This window comes from Homo sapiens, chromosome Y (genome assembly GCF_000001405.40).
Source record: "Homo sapiens chromosome Y, GRCh38.p14 Primary Assembly".
Classification (NCBI taxonomy): domain Eukaryota; kingdom Metazoa; phylum Chordata; class Mammalia; order Primates; family Hominidae; genus Homo; species Homo sapiens.
In genome coordinates, this window is record NC_000024.10 from 19,041,032 (window position 1) to 19,060,038 (window position 19,007).

General features: G+C 46.7%; 1 long non-coding RNA gene across 8 annotated transcripts in view; it reads right to left on the reverse strand.

Moving 5' to 3' along the window:
- TTTY14 (testis expressed transcript, Y-linked 14) overlaps positions 1 to 19,007 on the reverse strand; it is a 205,047-nt gene that overhangs the window by 168,531 nt on the left and 17,509 nt on the right. Inside the window, exons 3-4 of one of the 8 annotated variants that reach the window (NR_158641.1) lie at positions 4,211 to 4,260; positions 3,511 to 3,664 (exon numbers count right to left, since the gene is read on the reverse strand). The exons of the other annotated variants lie outside the window; for them this stretch is intronic. This is a non-coding gene — a long non-coding RNA (testis expressed transcript, Y-linked 14). The remainder of the gene's footprint in view (positions 1 to 3,510; positions 3,665 to 4,210; positions 4,261 to 19,007) is intronic. 8 annotated transcript variants of the gene reach the window in all.

Here is a 19,007-nt window from a genome sequence, read left to right on the forward strand (position 1 = left end):
GTCTAGCCTTGCCTGTACCAGAAGGTTCACCTGTTTCCTCCCTTTCCCCCTCTGAAGGTCCCTTGCACACTTCCCACTCATGTTATCCTCTTTCGTTGCCCCCTTAAGGGAGAATTAGGCCCCTCTTAATGTTGGGTGCCGGTATAAATCCCATGGCATAATCCGCCCTAAGCCATATGAGGTAGCTACGGAACCACGGAGAGAAACCCACTGACGCCATCCAGCAGTAGGACTTGTCACCATCCACATGAACAACACCGCAAGTAGGGTTGTTTTTGATCATTCACGCACACACACGTTTAGCCCTCCAGAATCTGACCACCAAGGAAGTACTTTACCTGACTTCCGCGGCCTCTCTCCTTCCTTGGTCTGTGCACAGAGTCATCGCCGCAGTACGTGAGGATGCTTTAAGAGGTTGCTAGCCCATTTCTTTCCGCGTTGCTGACAGCTTGGGTTATTTCTCTCACTGGGTGGGTCCTGATTTCTTACCCCTGAGGCCACCACAAGCGGGCAGGGTGCACCTACTCACAAGAGCAAGCCAGAGACCGGTGGGCCCTGAGAGGAATGTAATTACAGGTGAGCCCCCCAAATTGTTATAAAGTTTTGTGCCGCAAAAGAAACAGCACTCAAATATAATTTTTTTTTTTTTAATTCTCAGCAAGGCAATGTAATTCTATAGAAGGGTGCCCCCTTACATTTGGAGCAATAGTGAGCACACACCTGGACAAGGGAGGAGAGGAGGTTCTTATTCCCGATCCACGTGGACCCTGCTGCTGTGTTCCCCTATTGGCTAGGGTTAGATGCACAGGCTAAACTAATTCCAATTGGCTAATTTAAAGATAGTGTACGGGTGAGTGGTTTGGCTGGAAAAATGGTTATGGCAGAGCAGGAAATCAGAAAGAGTCAGGGTGGAAAATGAGTCAGGGCAGAGCAGGTAATCGGAATGAGTCAGGGTGGAGCAGGTAATCGAAAAACGTTGTGCTACAAGGATGTTAAGTTTAAAAGTAGAAAGCAAAGAATTGAACATACATACTGATTTTTTGAAGAGAAATTTACAGCTCATATCTAACAATACTATAAGTCAAATTGTTTCTTCTTGCCTAAAAGCAATCCAGCTCCCAATGGTGCTGCAAACTAAACCACGCATGAATATGCCATTCTTCCAAGGACCCTTAAAACCCCCGGAGAAGCCTTAGCTGCTGTTCCCCATTCAGCGTCCCTTTTCAGCAGAAAGCAGTGAGAAAATGTGGTGGCCCTAAACACCCTAACAGCAGTTAGGGTTAACTTGTTCAGAAGGAGGAATGTTACAGGAGTTATTAGGAAATTATTTCAGGCAGATAGAGGGGAAAAAGGGTCCTTGAAAAGCTTTCATCTCTTCTAAAGCAGCTCCAGGAACGCTTCTTGTCTAGCAGGAAAGCCTAGCTAAGAGCCCGCTGGCAACCTTTGACATGCAAATGCACACCATTAGAAACTGGGTCCACCCAAACATGGCGATTCTCACGGTTTTCCTCTTGCCCTTGCCCCCATATTTGCCTGGCAACATGGCCACCTCGACATATCCCCACGTGTATAGAACATCAGGGCCCCTGTGTTTGCATATTAAAAGGCTAAGGTGCAAGGGTCAGTTTTTTCAAAGACTATGGGAACAATATTCCTGGTCAAACCAATACCCTAAGCATATCAAACACCGACTCCTCATATAACTGGCTAGTATCTCGGGGCACTCCAGGTTTCCTATCTCGGCTATAGAGCCCTCCTCCCTCTGTCTCTGTAAAAGAAAGCTCCTTCCTTCATGCTGCCTATTAAACTCTCCGCTCCTTAAATTCACTCCACGTGTGTTGCTGTCATTTTATCCAATTCAACAGAAAACAAAAAACCCTGGTGTTTCTCCACTCATCAAAGCCGTCTCCCATTGTCTCCCATCAGCCTCGGCCCGGTGGCCCCAGGGTTGGGCGTGTTTGCGTCTCCGGGTGCACAGAGCTATCACTTCTCACTCCCTCCTCACTGGGAAGTCCCTCCCATTGTCTAGCCTCAGTACCTCTTGATACTCTCACAGCGCCCCGCTGCCATCCACAGCGCCTCCCAGCCCGCGGCTCTGGGACGCTACCCTCGGGACCCCAGCTGCACTCACCTAGGTCGGGCCGGCACTTGCCCTTGTCCTTTTGCAGCTACAGCTCGGCGCGTAAATCACCGACATCCTCGCAGCCTCCACTGGAACAATAGTTTCCCTTGTTGAGGCTGCTACCCTGGAAGCGAGGAGAGGCGGGGACGAAGGAGGAGCCGAGTGTCCATCTTGCGCATCTGGCCTCCCGCATCTAGGCACATGTTTAAGATGCTTACACAGCAGGTGCCATGCTAACTGCTGGCAGAAGGAATCCCGCCTTCTTGCATGCAGGCACTCGCCGGGCTTGGGAAAGAGCTGCCCCATGATCCAGCCAGTGAAGTGAGGTGGCCGCTTATGTGAGAGTTCTCCAGTCACCTCTAAATTTATGGACACGGGATATTGATGTACCCTTAACTCCCTTTTACAGATGAGTCAATTCCACAAGGACGGTGCCAGACAACTCCAGACAGTAGGGATCCCAATTCAAGGATCTTCAATGTCTAAGTTATCTGAATATTATACTGACAGAGAGTCTGCATTTCCCAGGACAGGTCCTGCTCAAGGTCACTGGTGCTGGTGACCTTGAGGACTCATTTAAGAAACATGTGTTGGGCATCTAATGTGTACTGGGTACACTGGGCAACAAAGATAACACCATCCCTGCTCTTCTGGCTGGTGGTGGACACAAACATTGACATGGTGTGGCTGGGGTGCAGTTGGGGGTGCATAGGGCACAGAGCAGAGAGGAGGCTCACAGGAGGCACCTGACCCAGACTCGGGGCATCTAGGAAGCCTTCCTGGAGGAGAAGATGTTGCAGCAGGAGTCAGGTAGAGCTGGTTGGCAGTTACATGAAGTACAGAAAGAGTGTTTCTGGTGGGAGGCACAGCAAGTGGGAAGGCCGAGAGGTGAGGAAGATACTGGCTCCTTCCAGAAAATGACAATAATAGGGAACATCATGGGTATCTTCCCACCAGAGCCAGTAGGCCAACAGGCAGTCAACTCCTAGCCTGTCTCTCTTCCCTTGGCTCATCCCTGACCCCCTGGGGCTGCCCTCTCAGAATTGATTCGGTGTCAGAGTGGAGCAGCTGGAGCTGCTTGTGGTGCAGCTGGTAGTGGATAACCAGAGCCAGCAGTGAGCACTGTGGCTGGGAGCTCAGGGCACTGGAGCTGCAGGAGGTAGGGGATGAAGGAGGTGAGAGACGCCAGAATGGAGGATCCCTGAGCTCTTGTGTGTGGAAAAAGGAGAAGCCATATTGGGTCCCAGCCAGGCTGAGGAGCTACCTAGGCACACCGACATACACATAAAACTCGTTCATGCACCCTCCTTCCACTTGCCAGACTAGTGTCCTCCCATGCAGGTGCTCAACATCCCACCCGACATCCCACCCAAGCCCCTCTTAGTTACCATCATTTCTTCCAGCAAGCAATTCCCTAAACTCAGTAGGCATTTCTCCCTTTCCCAAGCCCACGGATGATTGTCTTCTCCCAAGCAGCCTGTGAAGTCCTCACTTCGGTGTCTTATTACCTCCTGCTTTGGGTGTGACTGAATTCTCCTGACACTAGAAGAAAAAAAGTTAGGCGGTGATTGAATGGGTACCAGGGGAGATGTAAATGAATGGATGCCAGGGTGGATGGATGGGTGGGCAAATAGATAGATTGGTGGTTGGGTAAATGGACGAATGGGTAGATGGATGGATGGATTAGTTCTAAATTCCTCTTCAAAGAATCAATATGTCAGTATGTTCAGTTCTTTGCTTTCTACTTTTAAACTTAACTTCCTTGTAAAGCAACATTTTCCGATTACCTGCTCCACCCTGCCTCATTCCCATTACCTGCTCCACCCTGACTCATTCCAAATACCTGCTCCACCTTGAATCGTTCTGATTACCTGCCCATTCTCCACCCTGATTCATTCCAATTTCCTGACCTGCCAAAACCATTTTTCACGCCAAATCACTCACCGGGCACTCTTTTTAAATTAGCCAATCAGAATTTGTTTAGCCTGTGCAGTCTAACCCTAACCAACAGGGGAATGACACAGCAGCAGGGGCCACATGAGTCAGGAATAAGAAACCCTTCCCCTCTCCATCAAGGTGTGCACTCACCATTGGTCCATCTGTGAGGGTGCACCCTTCTATAGAAGTAAACTGCCCTGCTGAGAAGAAAAAAAGAAAATTTTATATTTGAGTGTTATTTCTTTTGTGGCACTGAAACTTTATTTATAACAGTGGATGAGTGAGTAGATGAGTACACACCATGGATGGGGGGAGTTGGGTGGCTAGGGATGGACGGGTGAATGGATGGATGAGTGAATGATTGGATGGGTGAATGGATGGATGGGAGAACAGATGGATGGAGGAATGAATCAGCTGATGGATGGGTGGATGACTGGATGTGTAGGTGGGTGGGTGGTTGGATGGATGGATTGTTGCATGGATGGATGGATGGAGTGGATGTGTGGATGGAGGGATGGATGGATAGATAGGTGAGTGGATGGGTGGATAAGTGGATGGGTGGCTGTGTGTCCGGAATTGGTGGGTTCTTGGTCTCACTGACTTCAAGAATCAAGCCACGGACCCTTGCGGTGAGTGTTACAGTTCTTAAAGGTGGTGTGTCCAGAGTTTGTTCCTTCTGATGTTCTGATGTGTTAGGAGTTTCTTCCTTCTGGTGGGTTTACGGTCTGGCTGGCTTCAGGAGTGAAGCTGCAGACCTTCACAGGGAGTGTTACAGCTCTTAAACGCAGGGTGGACCCAAAGAGCGAGCAGCAGCAAAATTTATTTCAGAAAGCCAAAAAGCAAGGCTTCCAGTATACAAGGAGACCTCCTCAGAGGATTGCCACTGCTAGCTCAGGCAGCCTGCCTTTATTCTCTTATGTGGCCCCACCCACATCCTGGGATTGATCCATTTTACAGAGAGCCGATTGGTCTATTTTACAGAGAGCTGATTGGTGCGTTTTGACAGGGTGCTGATTGGTGCCTTTGCAATCCCTGAGCTAGACACAAAAGTTCTCCACCTCCCCGCTAGATTAGCTAGATACAGTGTCCATTGGTGTATTTACAAACCCTGAGCTAGACACAGAGTGCTGATTGGTGCATTTGCAAACCTTGAGCTAGATACAGAGTGCCGATTGGTGCATTCACAATCCCTTAGCTAGACATAAAGATTCTCCAAGTCCCCAGCAGATTAGCTAGATACAGAGTGCCCATTGGTGCATCCACAAACCCTGAGCTAGACACAGGGTGCTGATTGGTGTGTTTACAAACCTTGAGCTATATACAGAGTGCTGATCAGTGTATTTACAATCCCTTAGCTAGGCATAAAGATTCTCCAAGTCCCCACTAGATTCAGGGGCCCAGCTGGCTTCACCCAGCGGATCTGGCACTGGGGCCGCAGGTGAAGCTGCCTACCAGTCTGGAGCCCTGCGCCCGCACTCCTCAGCCCTTGGGCAGTCATGGGTCCATGGGACTGGGCGCCTTGGAGCAGGGGGCGGCGCTCGTTGGGGAGGCTCAGGCCGCGCTGGAGCGGGGAGTGGGGGGAACTCAGGCATGGCGGGTTGCAGGTGTGGAGCCCTGCCCTGGGGTAGGCAACTAAGGCCTGGCGATAAATCAAGCGCAGCGCGGATGGGCCAGCGCTGCTGGGGTAGCCGGCGCACACTCCGCAGTTGCTGGCCTGGGTGCTAAGCTCCTCACTGCCCGGGGCTGGCAGGGCCAGCCGCTCCCAGTGCGGGCCCTCCAAGCCCAAGTCCACTCGGAACTCTAGCTCGCCGGCAAGCGCCGCGCGCAGCCCGGGTTCCCGCGCATGCCTCTCCCTCCATACCCCACGCCCCCGCAAGCCGAGGGAGCCGGCTCCCGCCTCGGCCAGACCAGAGAAGGGCTCCCACGGTGCAGCGGCGGGCTGAAGGGCTCCTCAAGCGCGGCCGGAATGGGGGCCAAGGCCGAGGAGGCACCGAGAGCGAGCGAGCGAGGGCTGCGAGGGCTGCGAGCACGCTGTCACCTCTCAGTTGGGTGGACGGATGGATGGATGGATGGGTGGGTGGATGGAGGGATGGTTGTAAGAGGGTGGTTGAGTGGATGGATGAATGGCGGGAGATGGTGGGTGTTTGGTATAGGTGGGTGGATGAATAGATGGTGACTGAAGCCTGATAAAAGGGTGATGAAGAACCATGAGAACGTAAATTGGATGGGTGAGTGGGTGGGTCGTGACCAATGGGTGGGTGGATGGATGTCCAGGTGAATGCATGAGTGGTAGATGGGTGGAAAGGTGACTTGAAAAATTCATGAGCAGGTAGATGGTAGGTAGAGGACATCTCAATCCCTACTCCCTGGTAAGAGGCAAATACAGATTTTCTTTCACTGAATCCCTTTCAGATACAGGACTCCCCAGTCACAACCCTCAAAAAACACGTCCCTTCAAGATATTCCTGCCTGACTTCCCTGCCTGTACAAATCAGGCCCAGGTGGACAGACGTGCATGCATGTACACGCTCACATCACACACATGCATGCAGCCATCGCCCCAGACCTCCACCCACTGTGGGTGAATTGCTGTCATTCACACAAAGGCCACACCAATGTGAGGGTGCCTACCTGTGAGGGGGTTCCCTCTGACTATCCAGTAAATATGCCTCTGTGCTGAGAGCCCTCAGCCCTGGGTTCAGTCTCCAGGGAGCCCCTGAATGTTGAAAAAGACAGAACCAGACTAGAACCTTCCAGTCTTGACAGAGGAAGAGACCCAGCTGCAGTAGGCAGAAACCTGATTTGGGGAGTTAGATCTCTGCCTGGGAACTTTGAAGGATGAGTAGGAGTTCAGCAGAGTAGGAAAAAGAAACCATTCTAGGCAGAAATAACTGCACAGAGAAAAGCTAAGAGGCCAGAAAAGGCTTGATCTGTTTGGATAACAGGAAATACCAGTGAGGCGCATTTACTGAGCTCATGTTTGGCCAGGCTCTGTGTAGGGACCATACCAAAAACTGACCATGAGTTGGTCAAGACAGCATCATTTCTCTCATTTTATAGAGGAGGGAAGTAAAACAGAGAGGGCAAGTAACTTGCCAAAGGACACACAGCAGACAGGAGATGGAGCAGCTCTATGTCTTTCTCTAGGGACCAGGACTGCTCCGGGAGAAGGAAGTGGTCCTTTTGAGGAGGGGAAGTAGCGGACTGTGCCACCCAGGACTGGTGTCCCTCACCCTACCGCCACTTTCTCCCTTCCCCAGGTGGCCTTGGGAAAAGAGAAATGCAGAACAGCGTCCATGAAGATTCTCACGGCACAATTTAAGACGACAGAAGATGTGAGGCCCTAGATGCCTGATAACCACTAACTTCAGGCTTCTGTATCCCAGGGCTTGAGTGAAGATCCACCCGTTAATTCCAGTCTACAGCCTTTGGCCTCTATCCACCTCTTCTCTTTTCCTCTCTGCTGGCCCCTGGCGCCCTTACCTCCCCCATTTCTCCCCAGACAAGCTTTCCCGCCATCTTACCTTTGCCCAGGCAGTTCCCTCCCCAAACAACACCTTCTCCCTGCATTGCCACCTATCAGACCCTCATCATTCCTCACACTGTGGCCCTAGTACCACCTCCTCGTTCAATCTCTGCTCTCCCCAGCCACAGTGACCCCTTGCTTTTCCAAGGACTCACTTTCTCAGGGAGCCTGATCTCTTGCTTTTCGAGTGTGTGTATCCAGCACATAATTTATATAGCAGGTGCTGTTCCAGGCACAGGGGAAGATCAGCCCGGGAAGAGGACAGGCACAATCCTTGCACTGGTGGAGCCGACCGCTGAGTGTGGGGGATGAACACAAAACAAGATAAATAAGACAAAATGTGTATTTTGTGCCGTGAGGGCAGACAAAGCAGGAAGGGGAACTGAAGCATCCAGGGTAGGGGAGGTGGTAGCAGTGTTAAAGAGGATGGCTGGGGAAGGCTTCCCACAGCAGGTGATATTAGAGTAAAGATCAAAAAGGGAAGGGGAGGACAAGATGCAGTGGCTCCTGCCTGTAATACCAGTACTTCCAGAGATGGAGGTGGGCAGATCCTTTGGCTGTGGGTAGCACTGTGAACTAGCATGAATGTCACTCCTGTATTTAGATTACATTATATGGTAAAGGTGAAGGTATTCTATATGAAGTAACTGAGGTCTCAGCCAGGTGGGGTGGCTCACACCTGTAATCCCAGCACTTTGGGAGCCTGAGGTGGGTGGATCATCTGAGGTCAGGAGTTTGAGACCAGCCTGGCCAATATGGCAAAACCCCGTCTCTACTTAAAAAAAAAAAAAGCAAAACAAACAAACAAACAAAAAAAACAGAAATTAACTGGGCATGGTGGCGTATGCCTGTAGTCCCAGCTCCTCGGGAGGCTAAGGCAGAAGAATTGCTTGAACCCGGGAGGTAGAGGGTGCAGTGAGCTGAGATCACACCACTGCATTCCAGCCTGGGTGACAGGGCAAGACTCTCTCTCAAAAAGAAAAGAAACAGAAGGGGAGGGAGTTTGCAGGCACTGCATACCAGGTGACTGGTACAGCCAATGCAAAAGCCCTGAGGTAGATCCAGCTGTCGTCTCTTGCATCCTTGTCTTGGTCTATGAACTATTAGAAATACATGCTTCTTCCTCAGTCATTCCCACTCCCTCCTAGGCCCCTCAAGTGCCTTGTGGTATGGTGGCCAGTTCAGGCCACAGATGGAGAGGATGAAAGTGAGGGTTCACCTCCAGGGGCAGTCAGTCAGCCTTCCTGAGCACCTCTTTGTGCCTGGCGTGGGTGGGCAGGCTTGACTTGGAGCCTTTCATTTTCCCAGTATGGGCTACGGCCTCCCCATCCTGTGTGATCTAGAGCAATCAGGGAGTCTATCTTGAGGAGGCAGTGCCAGAGCAGAGCCTGGAGCAACAGGGAGGATTTAGAGAAGTGAAGGCAGGCACATGAGGAGCTGGGTGCGGACCCGATGGACAAACATTCAGAGACTGCACTAGATCTGCTGGATTCACAGGGAAAACAGGCAGACTCTCTTGGCAGGGGCAAGGAGTGCAAGTCAGTGGGAGCCCAGGAAGGGGCATCCTTGAAAGCCAAAAAGAGGGGCCTCTGGAGCAAGCTTGGATTTCATTTTTTAATTTTTAATTCTATTCATTTATTTATTTTTAATTAATTAATTTGTTTGTTTATTTATTTATTTATTTTTGAGACAGCGTCTCATTCTGTCGCCCAGCCTAGAGTGTGGTGGCACAATCTTGGCTCATTGCAGCCTCTGATTCCTGGGCTCAAACGATCCACATGCCTCAGCCTCCCAAAGTGTGGAGACTACACACATGCACTGCCAGCTGTGCTAATTTTTATTTTTTATAGAGAAGGGTTCTAGCTATGTTGCCCAGGCTGGTTTTGAACTCCTGGCCTCAAATGATCCTTCCACCTCAGCCTCCCAAAGTGCTGGGATTAAATGCATGAGCCACCATGCTTGGCCAAGTCTGGATAGAATCAGGTGGCTGTGAGTTCAAATCTTTCCTCTGTGCCTGGTATATTCTGGGTGACTCTGGGCATATCATGACCCCTCTGTGGCTTCCTTTGTTTTATTATTTTATTTTTTATTTCATTTCATTTCATCATTTCTCATTTCATTATTTCATTTCATTTTTCTTTCTTTATTTTTTGAGACGGCGTCTCACTCCGTCACTCAGGATGGAATGTAGTGGTGCAATTTCGGCTCACTGCAACCTCTACCTCTTGAGTTCAAGCTATTCTCCTGCCTCTGCCTCCCAAGTAGCTGGGACTACAGGCATACACCACCATATCCAGCTATTTTTTTTTTATATTTTTAGTAGAGACAGGGTTTCTCTATGTTGTTCAGACTGGTCTTAAACTCCCGACCTCAAATGATCTGCCAGTCTTGGTCTCCCAAAGTGCTGGAATTACAGGTGTGAGCCACTGTGCACGGCCCATTATATTTTTAAAAATTTTAATTTAATGTCATTGAATTCACTTTTATTTATTTTACTTTTTTTAAAGTTTGTATTTTCTTTTCTTTTTGAGGAAAAGCCTCACTCTGCTTGCTACTTAGGCTGGAATGCAGTGATGCAATTTCGACTCACTGCAACCTCAGCCTTCTGGGTTCAAGCGATTCTTTTGTCTCAGTCTCCTGAGTAGGCTACAGGCATGCACCACCATGCCCAGCAAATTTTTTGTATTTTTTAGTAGAGATGGTGTTTCACTGTATTTTCCAGGCTGGTCTAGAACTCCTGACCTGAAGTGATCTGCCCACCTCAGCCTTTTAAAATGTGAAGATAACAGGCGGAAGCCACTGCACCCGGCGCTAAGTTTTTTTGTTTTGTTTTAAAAGATGGGGTCTCACTATGTTGCCCAGGCTGGTCTCAAACTCCTAGGCTCAAATGATCCTCTTGCCTCCACCTCCAACTAACTGAGACTACTGGAGTGCAACACCATGCTTGGCTTCTTTCATTTAATTTTTGTTGATTTTTTAGCACTATAAAGAGCTTAACATGTGCTTTGCATGTTTCACCTCATTTAATCCTCATCACCATGCTATGAGACAGGAGCTTTTATTATCTTCATTTTATAGGTGTGGGAGGGAAGCCCAGAGAGGTTAAGACACCTGCTCAGGGTCACATAGCTAGGAAGTGAGACACCACTTCCCCCCAGGGGTGCATTACTATGAACATTATTAGCCTGGAGATTGGAAAAGAGTGCCTTGATTGAAAAGATTGAGGGTGAAGATAGACGGGGGAGAGAAACAGATGAAAAACAGCTCATTAGCTGCCTACAACACATTGTGGCATTGGGTGAGCTTCATTAACTGTGGAATAATCCTAAAATTTTTCATCCCATTTGGTATCAGTTCCTCAATTATATGACCCTTGAACAATTACAGCTGACACCCCAGCACAGTCAAAAATCCATGTATAGGCAGTGTGCATTGGCTCATGCCTATAATTCCAGCACTTTTGGAGGCCAAGTTAGGCAGATCACTTGAGGCCCAGAGTTCAAGACCAACCAGGCCAACCTGGTGAAATCCCCGTCTCCACTGAAAATACAAAAATTAACTGGGCATGGTAGCCTGCCCCTAATTCCAGCTACTCGTGAGGCTGAGTTATGAGAATCACTTGGGAGGCAGAGGTTGCAGTGAGCTGAGATCGTGGCCTTGAACTCCATCCTGGGCCACAGAGACTGTCTTAAAAAAAAAATTTAGAAATAGAATTACCCATAAGATCCAGCAATTCTACTTCAAAGATCTATATACCCTTGGCTACATATCCAACAGCAGCAAAATGAGTGATTTGAACATATATTTGTAGCCCCCTGTTCATAGCAGCATTAATCACAACAGCCAAAAGCTTGAAACAACCCGTGTCCATCAACAGAAGAATGGAGAATCAAAATGTGACATAAGGAAGGGAATTCTACGTGGTAGAAAACAGATGAGCATTAAAGGAAGTGAACAATGTGCCTCTAGCATGTATTCAAATGAAGAATTTTTGCCTGAATATTGGTACTAAAACATATTAAAACCCAAAGTCAAAACATCATATTAGTTATAGCAGGAAATTTTTCTGATATATGCAGCAGAAGGAAATTGAAAGCATTATTTCCAAATTGATCACAACAAACAAATTCAGGCAAATGAAAGTCCAACACATCATGATGGGCGATGTCTACTACACCCACTCCACAAGCCACATGGCCTTCTGGGAACACAGCCTCGATGCCACTTGATTCTGTGGCTACAACAGCACTTGTCCATTTCCAAATAATGGGCTGCTCCTCCAAGCAGTATTAGATGCAGTTCAGAATGACGCCTCTATAGTTTTGTGACAAAAACTGTGGGTACTGACCATGATATGGGTTGAAATTTCAGTAACAGTAGCAGTCGCTTTCTCTGTGATGTCCACAGACCATAATAAAAATGACAGCATATTGCCAGGGAAATGCTGGGTTTTGGGGAAAAGACTCCTTTCTAAGAGAGACCCATGACAATTGGCAATTGACATGAATACATTTCCACAAACAGTCATCTTTGCACTGGCCTCATACCAACCACTCTAATGACTGGTGACACAAGGACCATTCAGGAGCCATGGGTAACACACTATGCTACATCCAGAATGCAATGGCTGGTAAGTGTGAGGCACTCACAAGAATAGGCTGCAATGTATCTTGAAATAAACATTACCAATTGTGGGAGGTGAAGTGAAAATTTTCTCAAAAATAAAGCCACTAAAAAAAGTAAAATTTGACACCCGGTGCAGCAACTGATGCATGTAATCCCAGAACTATGGGAGGCCGAAGTGGGCGGACTGCTTGACCCCAGGAGGTTGAGGCTACAGTGAGCACGATCGCACCTCTGTGTGCTCCAGCCTGAGCAAGACAGCAATTCTGTCTCAAAAGTAAGTAAATAAGTAACAAAAACTGACTTTGACCTCCACAAATTCAAGTTGGTCACAATTGAGGAATCTAAGCTGTGGGGGCAAATAGTTCAACTGAAGACTGACCCACAGGGGCAAACTGATCCAAAAGGGAAATATGCCAGTCACAAAGAACAACTATTTTATGACTCCACTTATAGGAGAGGTACCTGGAGTAGTGAAATTCTTAAGAGACAGGAAGTAGAGTGGTGGTTGCCAAGGATTATGGGGAGAAGGCAATGAAGAGTTAAGTGTTTGATAGGTACACAGAGTCACCTGGGAAGATGAAGACGTTCTGGAGAGGGATGTTGGTGATGGCCTCACACAATGTGAATATAATACCAGAGAACAGTACACTCAAAGATGGTAAAAATGGCAAATTTTATACAGCTGGGCTCAAACAATCCTTCACCCTCAGTCTACTGAGTAGCTGGGACCACAGGCACGTGCCAACATGCCCCGCTATTTTTGGTATTTTTTGTAGTGACGGTGTTTCACCGTGTTGCCCAGACTGGTCTCAAATTCCTGGGCTCAAGTTATCTGCCCACCCTGGCCTCCCAAAGTGCTGAGATTACAGGCATGAGCCATTGTACCTCACCTAATAATTCCATTTTAATACAAATTTACTAAAAAGGGAAAAATTCATAAAATCATTAACTATATCATCTTATTGAGGCTACCTAAGTTCTCTGAACTTCATCTTGTAATCTCAATAAGATAAATGCATCCTTTAACACTAACAATTATGGCCACTTCCATCAAAACATAAAGTTTTAAAAACTAGGGTTCTCATTTAAGGCTCTGTCTCTCCCTAACAGCTCAGCTCTCAGAATGTTCAGAAGACTCAGTTACTGCCCTCTCCCTCCTCTGGCACTCATTTGTGAAGACCTCCAGAGCATCTACTGCAAAAGCCCATTTCAGCATATTCATCACCACTGGTATACTTCCTTCTGTCACGAGCTTCATTTTATAAAAACTATCATTAATACTGGCTCAGAGTTTTTCAATAATTTCAATGTAGTACACCATGGCAACCTGTCTAGTTCACATTTAATACAAAATTAATTCCTTATGTTACCACATAAGCAATAGATTGTTATGAAGTTTAATGTTTCCATGGCTTTCTACTTATGGAAAAAATTAACTTCTTCACATCACCTATAGTGGAAATGCTTCCTGTTCAGACTGCAATTCTATTCACACACACACACAAAAAATAATACTGTAGTACTATTAAATCACAATGGTAAGGCCAGGTGTGGTAGCTCATACCTGTAAGCCCAGCACTTTGAGAGGCTGAGGTGGGCAAATCACTTGAGGCCAGGAGTTTAAGACCAGCCAGGCCAACATAGCAAAACCCTGTCTCTATTAAACACACAAAAATTAGCCAGGTGTGGTAGTAGGTGCCTGTATTCCCAGCTATTCAGGAGGCTGAGGCACGAGAATTGCTTGAACCTGGAAGGCGGAGAGCCGAGATCTCACCACTGCACTCCAGACTGGGCGACAGAGCAAGACTCCATCTCAAAAATAAATAAATAAATAAATAAATAAATAAATAAATAAATAAATAAATAAAATATCACTATGATGGAATCTATCCCTCTAACCTAAAAATTCTTAAAGTATCTTGAAGTGTGATACAGGCCAGATGTGGTGCACGTAGTCCCCAGCACTTTGGGAGGCGGAGGCAGAGGATCACTTGAGATCAGGAGCTCAAAACCAGCCTGGAAAGTATATCAAGAAAGACCCCATGTCTACAAAAATAAAAATAAATAGAGAAACCAGAGAACAAACTCTACAAAAGGAAGAAAAGAAAGCTTCAAGGACAAAAGTCAATAAAGTTACACAGTTCCAAGTTCATCTACTATGATAGGGCAACAATCTGGTGTTCAGAGGCCAAATATGACCCAATATCTTTTTTTGACAGTCCATAAGCTAAGAATGGGGTTTATATTTATAGCTAGTTGAAAAAGAAAATAATGTTTTGTGCTAAGTTAAAATTAGAAAATTCTAATTTTAGTGTCAACAGTAGTTTAATTGGAAAACAGCCAGGCTTGTTTAAGTGTGCCCCACAGTTCCCTCCATGATCCATGATACAAATGGCAGAGCTGAATAGCTGTCAGGGAATGTGTGGCCCACAAGGTCTAACATATCTACTATGTGGCCATTTACAGAAAAACTGAGATGACATTAAAAAAACAAGTCTGCATATTAAAGCGCTGCAAAATGCTAGCCAATATAAAGAAGTCATAATCTAAACCCTAAAAATAGTGAAATGTCAGACTCCCGCATATAAATAGAAAATCCTACAAGTTTCCATAAAATCCTAAAAATCTTACCCACAAAAGAGTCATGAATCACACTGGTGTCAGACTTCTCTCATCTTACAGCAGAGGCCATGACAAAGAACAGGAGTGGCACACTCTTACCATCAACAGCAGACAGTCCATGGTGGCCTTGCTCCACAGCACTGGCTGCCCGCACACGTCAGCGAAAGGCCTGCTTTCAGCACACACAGAATACCTGCTTAACAAGTAGGAACACTTACTCCTCCAGTATTCCACCATGAGACAATGGAAAAAATCTCAAGTGTCCTTTGGCACACACCACCCATGTACTCCTGGCACATCAAATGTACTAGTGAAAGAAGACCCCTCTGCTACACAGCCACTATCACACTTTCTAAAAGCTCAGGGTGCTGATCACAACAGGGACCAATAAAAGGAGGTTGTATCATAGCCTCAACAAAGTGCCCAGAAATAGATGCTGGCAGAACCTGCTCCACGGGCTGTGGGCTCAGGCACATCAGGTGAACACAGGAGAGCACATGCAACCCCATCTGTAACCAGTCCCAATCTGTTGTTGACAGTTCAGTTATCTGAAGAGAAAATAATTCTAATGATTTGGGTTTTAGATTCTATTTATCTAAAATCCAAAAGACTTAATTCCCATTTAAGGAGACGTTCACAATAAGCAAATCCACAGAGATAGAAAGTAGAGTACTAGTTGTCAGGGAAGGGGGAGAACGGGGATAGAAACTGACGGCACAGGGGACCTTGTGAGGATAGAAATATTCTGGAATTTGACAATGGTGATAAGGTGCACAATATACGATGAATATACTAAAAATCATGAATTGTGAGCTTCAAATGGTATATTTTGTGTTCTGTGAACTATGTTGCTTATTTTACAATTTCTGAAATAAATTCACCACCCTACAAAGTAAAATTCCTAATGCCTGGCATCCAATAAAAATTACTAGGCATGAGAAGGAGAGAAAAAAATACAAGCCTCAGAGAATTAGGACTAGTGCTGAAAAAAAAAAAGTCATAACGAAGACAAAAGAATCAATCAATGGAAACCAACTTAGAACTGAAACAGGTGTTAAAATCAGTAGACAAAAACATTAAAACCTGTTTTACAGTGGGCACAGTGGCTCACACCTGTTATCCCAGCACTTTGGGAGGCGGAGGAGAGTAGATCACGTGAGGGTCAGGAGCTTGAGACCAGCCTGGCCAACATGGTGAAACCCCATCTTTACTAAAAATAAAAAAATTAGCTGGACATGGTGGTGGGCACCTGTAATCCCAGCTACTCAGGAGGCTGAGGCAAGAGAATCGCTTGAACCCAGGAGGCAGAGTTTGCGGTGGGCCCAGATTGTCACTCCAGCCTGGGCAACAGAGTGGGACTCCATCTCAAACAAACAAACAAACAAACAAAAGCTGTTTTAACTTTATTCCATGTGTTCAACATGTAAGACACAAAAAAGGCACCTCAGCAGCAGCCAAACAAAAGATACACAGAACAAGGTGTGGGTGGCAGGGAGCCTTTACAGCATTCGAATGTGTCCAAGAGTTTTTAGAGCTTCATCTTCAGCTCCTGCTCCCTCCCTGGAGGTTAGTTGGTGAAGATGAAAGCTCCAGTCCTCTAATCACTTCGTCTTTCTGGTGACCAGCCCTAACCTGTCACCTCACTGCTTATATTCTGGTGTGATCAGAAAGGAGCTAGTTATGAATAACAAGTGACATCCTATCATTCAAAAAATTCAAGCGTTGTAGGAAATCTGCCAGGACTGAGAAGGTAGGGGAGACAAAGGCCACATAAATGTTTATTATCCAAAGTCTTCCAAACGAGTAAGCTGAAATTAGGCCAGGAGCAGTGGCTCATGTCTGTAATCCCAGGACGTAGGGAGGCCAAGGCAGGCAGATCACTTGAGCCCAGGAGTTCGAGACCAGCCTGGGCGACACTGCTAAACCCTATCTCTATAAAAAATAGCAAGAAAGACCCCATCTCTACAAAAAATTCAAAGATATATTACCTGGGTGGCATGTGCCTGTTGTCCCAGGTACATGGGAAGCTGAGGTGGGAGAACTGCGTGAGCTCAGGAAGTTGAGGCTACTGAGGTGGGATGGTACCACAGCACTCCAGCCTGGACCACAGAGTAAGACCTTGTCTCTAAAAAGAACCCCTGGGCTCAAGTGACTCTCCAAGTCTTGGCCTCTCAAGTATCTGGGACTACAGGCACACACCATCACATTCGGCTAAGTTTTATTTTTATTTTTGTAGACATGGGGTCTTTCTTGATATACTTCCCAGACTGGTTTTGAGCTCCTGATCTCAAGCGATCCTTCTGCCTCCGCCTCCCAAAGTGCTGGGGACTATGCGCACCACATCTGACCTGTATCACACTTCAAGATGCAGGATGCACTGCATCGCTGATCCCAAATGCTGTTGTGTATCCCATTAAGATACCACAGGACATGTTGGATATGTTTACAAATATCAGGTAAGACAACTGAGTGACTTGCTACCCACAGTCTTTTTTTTTTTTTTTTTTTGAGATAAAGTCTTGCTCTGCCACAAAAGATGGAGTGCAGTGGTGCAATCTCTGCTTACTGAAACCTCCCCCTCCTGGGTTCAAGTGATTCTCCTGCCTCAGCCTCCCGAGTAGCTAGGATTACAGGCATGTGCCACCAAGCCCAGCTAAGTTTTTTCATATTTTTAGTAGAGATGGGGTTTTGCTGTGTTGGCCAGGCTGGTCTTGAATTCCTGGCCTCAAGTGATCTGCCCACCTCGGCCTCCTAAAGCACTGGGATTACAAGGGTAAGCCACCTCGCCTGGCCTGCAGCCTTTTTCACTTCAGGACACTGTTCCCGTGAACTTAGCAAAGAAGGGTTTGGTAATTTAGTGATAACTTGAAACCAAAGCAGAAGATGAAACAATTATCTGGATGATTGTAGGGAGACCACCTGAAACTATTGCTACAGAATAAAAGATGAAATGCTCCTGATTATTGTAAATACAAAATTACACGCAGGATTGTGTAAAGACAATGCCAGGTTGGACTGCCAGAATGACCCAACAGCGTGTGATGTGCTTCCCCTTGCAGACAACCTATAAATGGACATGCAGTCAGGGAGGTTTCATATCACCAAGGTTCCTATCCCAGAAAAGCAGATGTTCACAGCTCTGGGAATGGAATGTGACCCTTGTGGAGAGCTTATAAACGGATTCATGAAGGGCACCTGTCCATATGGATAAGATAGGGCTATAAATGTCCTCATCTTGCCACAGCTATTCTAGGCCTCTTTAGGGTTAAAGCATACTCCCTTCTGAGAATTTCTGGTCTAACTGGTTGTCTGGCTTCACGTCCTGTTTCTAAGGATTGCTGGTAACCAGCTTTTGCTGCAACTGTTACTGCTGATTAATATCTTGCTAATCACAGGTTATAGAAAGACTGTGTTTCTGTTTTAAGGCTCTGTTACAAATTACTGATGCACACATTATATTGTAAATTCTTATCTCTGTATACTGTGCTTTTGCATACAGATGTTATGTTAAAGAATTACTTCATTCCCATGTGACCATCTCATCTCATAATCAAATGACCCTAAATCCCTCACTAACCTACCCTCGCCCTCACTAAACTTAATAATAAACGCTGGTATATCCAGTGCATTGTTGGCACCATGGGACAAGAAGGCAGTGACCCCCCTGGACTCAGCTTTCACTATCTTGTGTGTGTCTATTATTCCTTGACCTGCTGATCTGCCTGGGAACAAAGAGAGCCCCACTGCATTGCGGGCTGCTGGTCAGATCCCGCAATAAATGACGATAGTAAAAATAAGAGAATCTGGGTTTAAGTTGTTGCAGTAGGTATGCCCAAATTGCACAGACTCACCTTCTCACCCACACCTCCAATTCAAATGCAGCTCATTCCATAAGGAGGTCGAGGGAGAAAGTCTATTTTGCACTCCTTGAATCTCTTCTCACTCGGCGATTGCTTTTACCAACAGAATGAAGCAAAAGTGAAGCTGTGTAGCTCAAGCTTCTGCTGCCCTACTGTTCTTGGTAGCCCCAATGACTAGTCTGCTGGATGGTGAAAGGTGCAGGGCTCAGCTGACATCCAGCCAGCCATGTATCATACAGGAAGAATGACACATTGTTACCAAGTGGGTTTTAATGCAGGAATGCATGATTGGTTTAACATTGGAAGAACAATG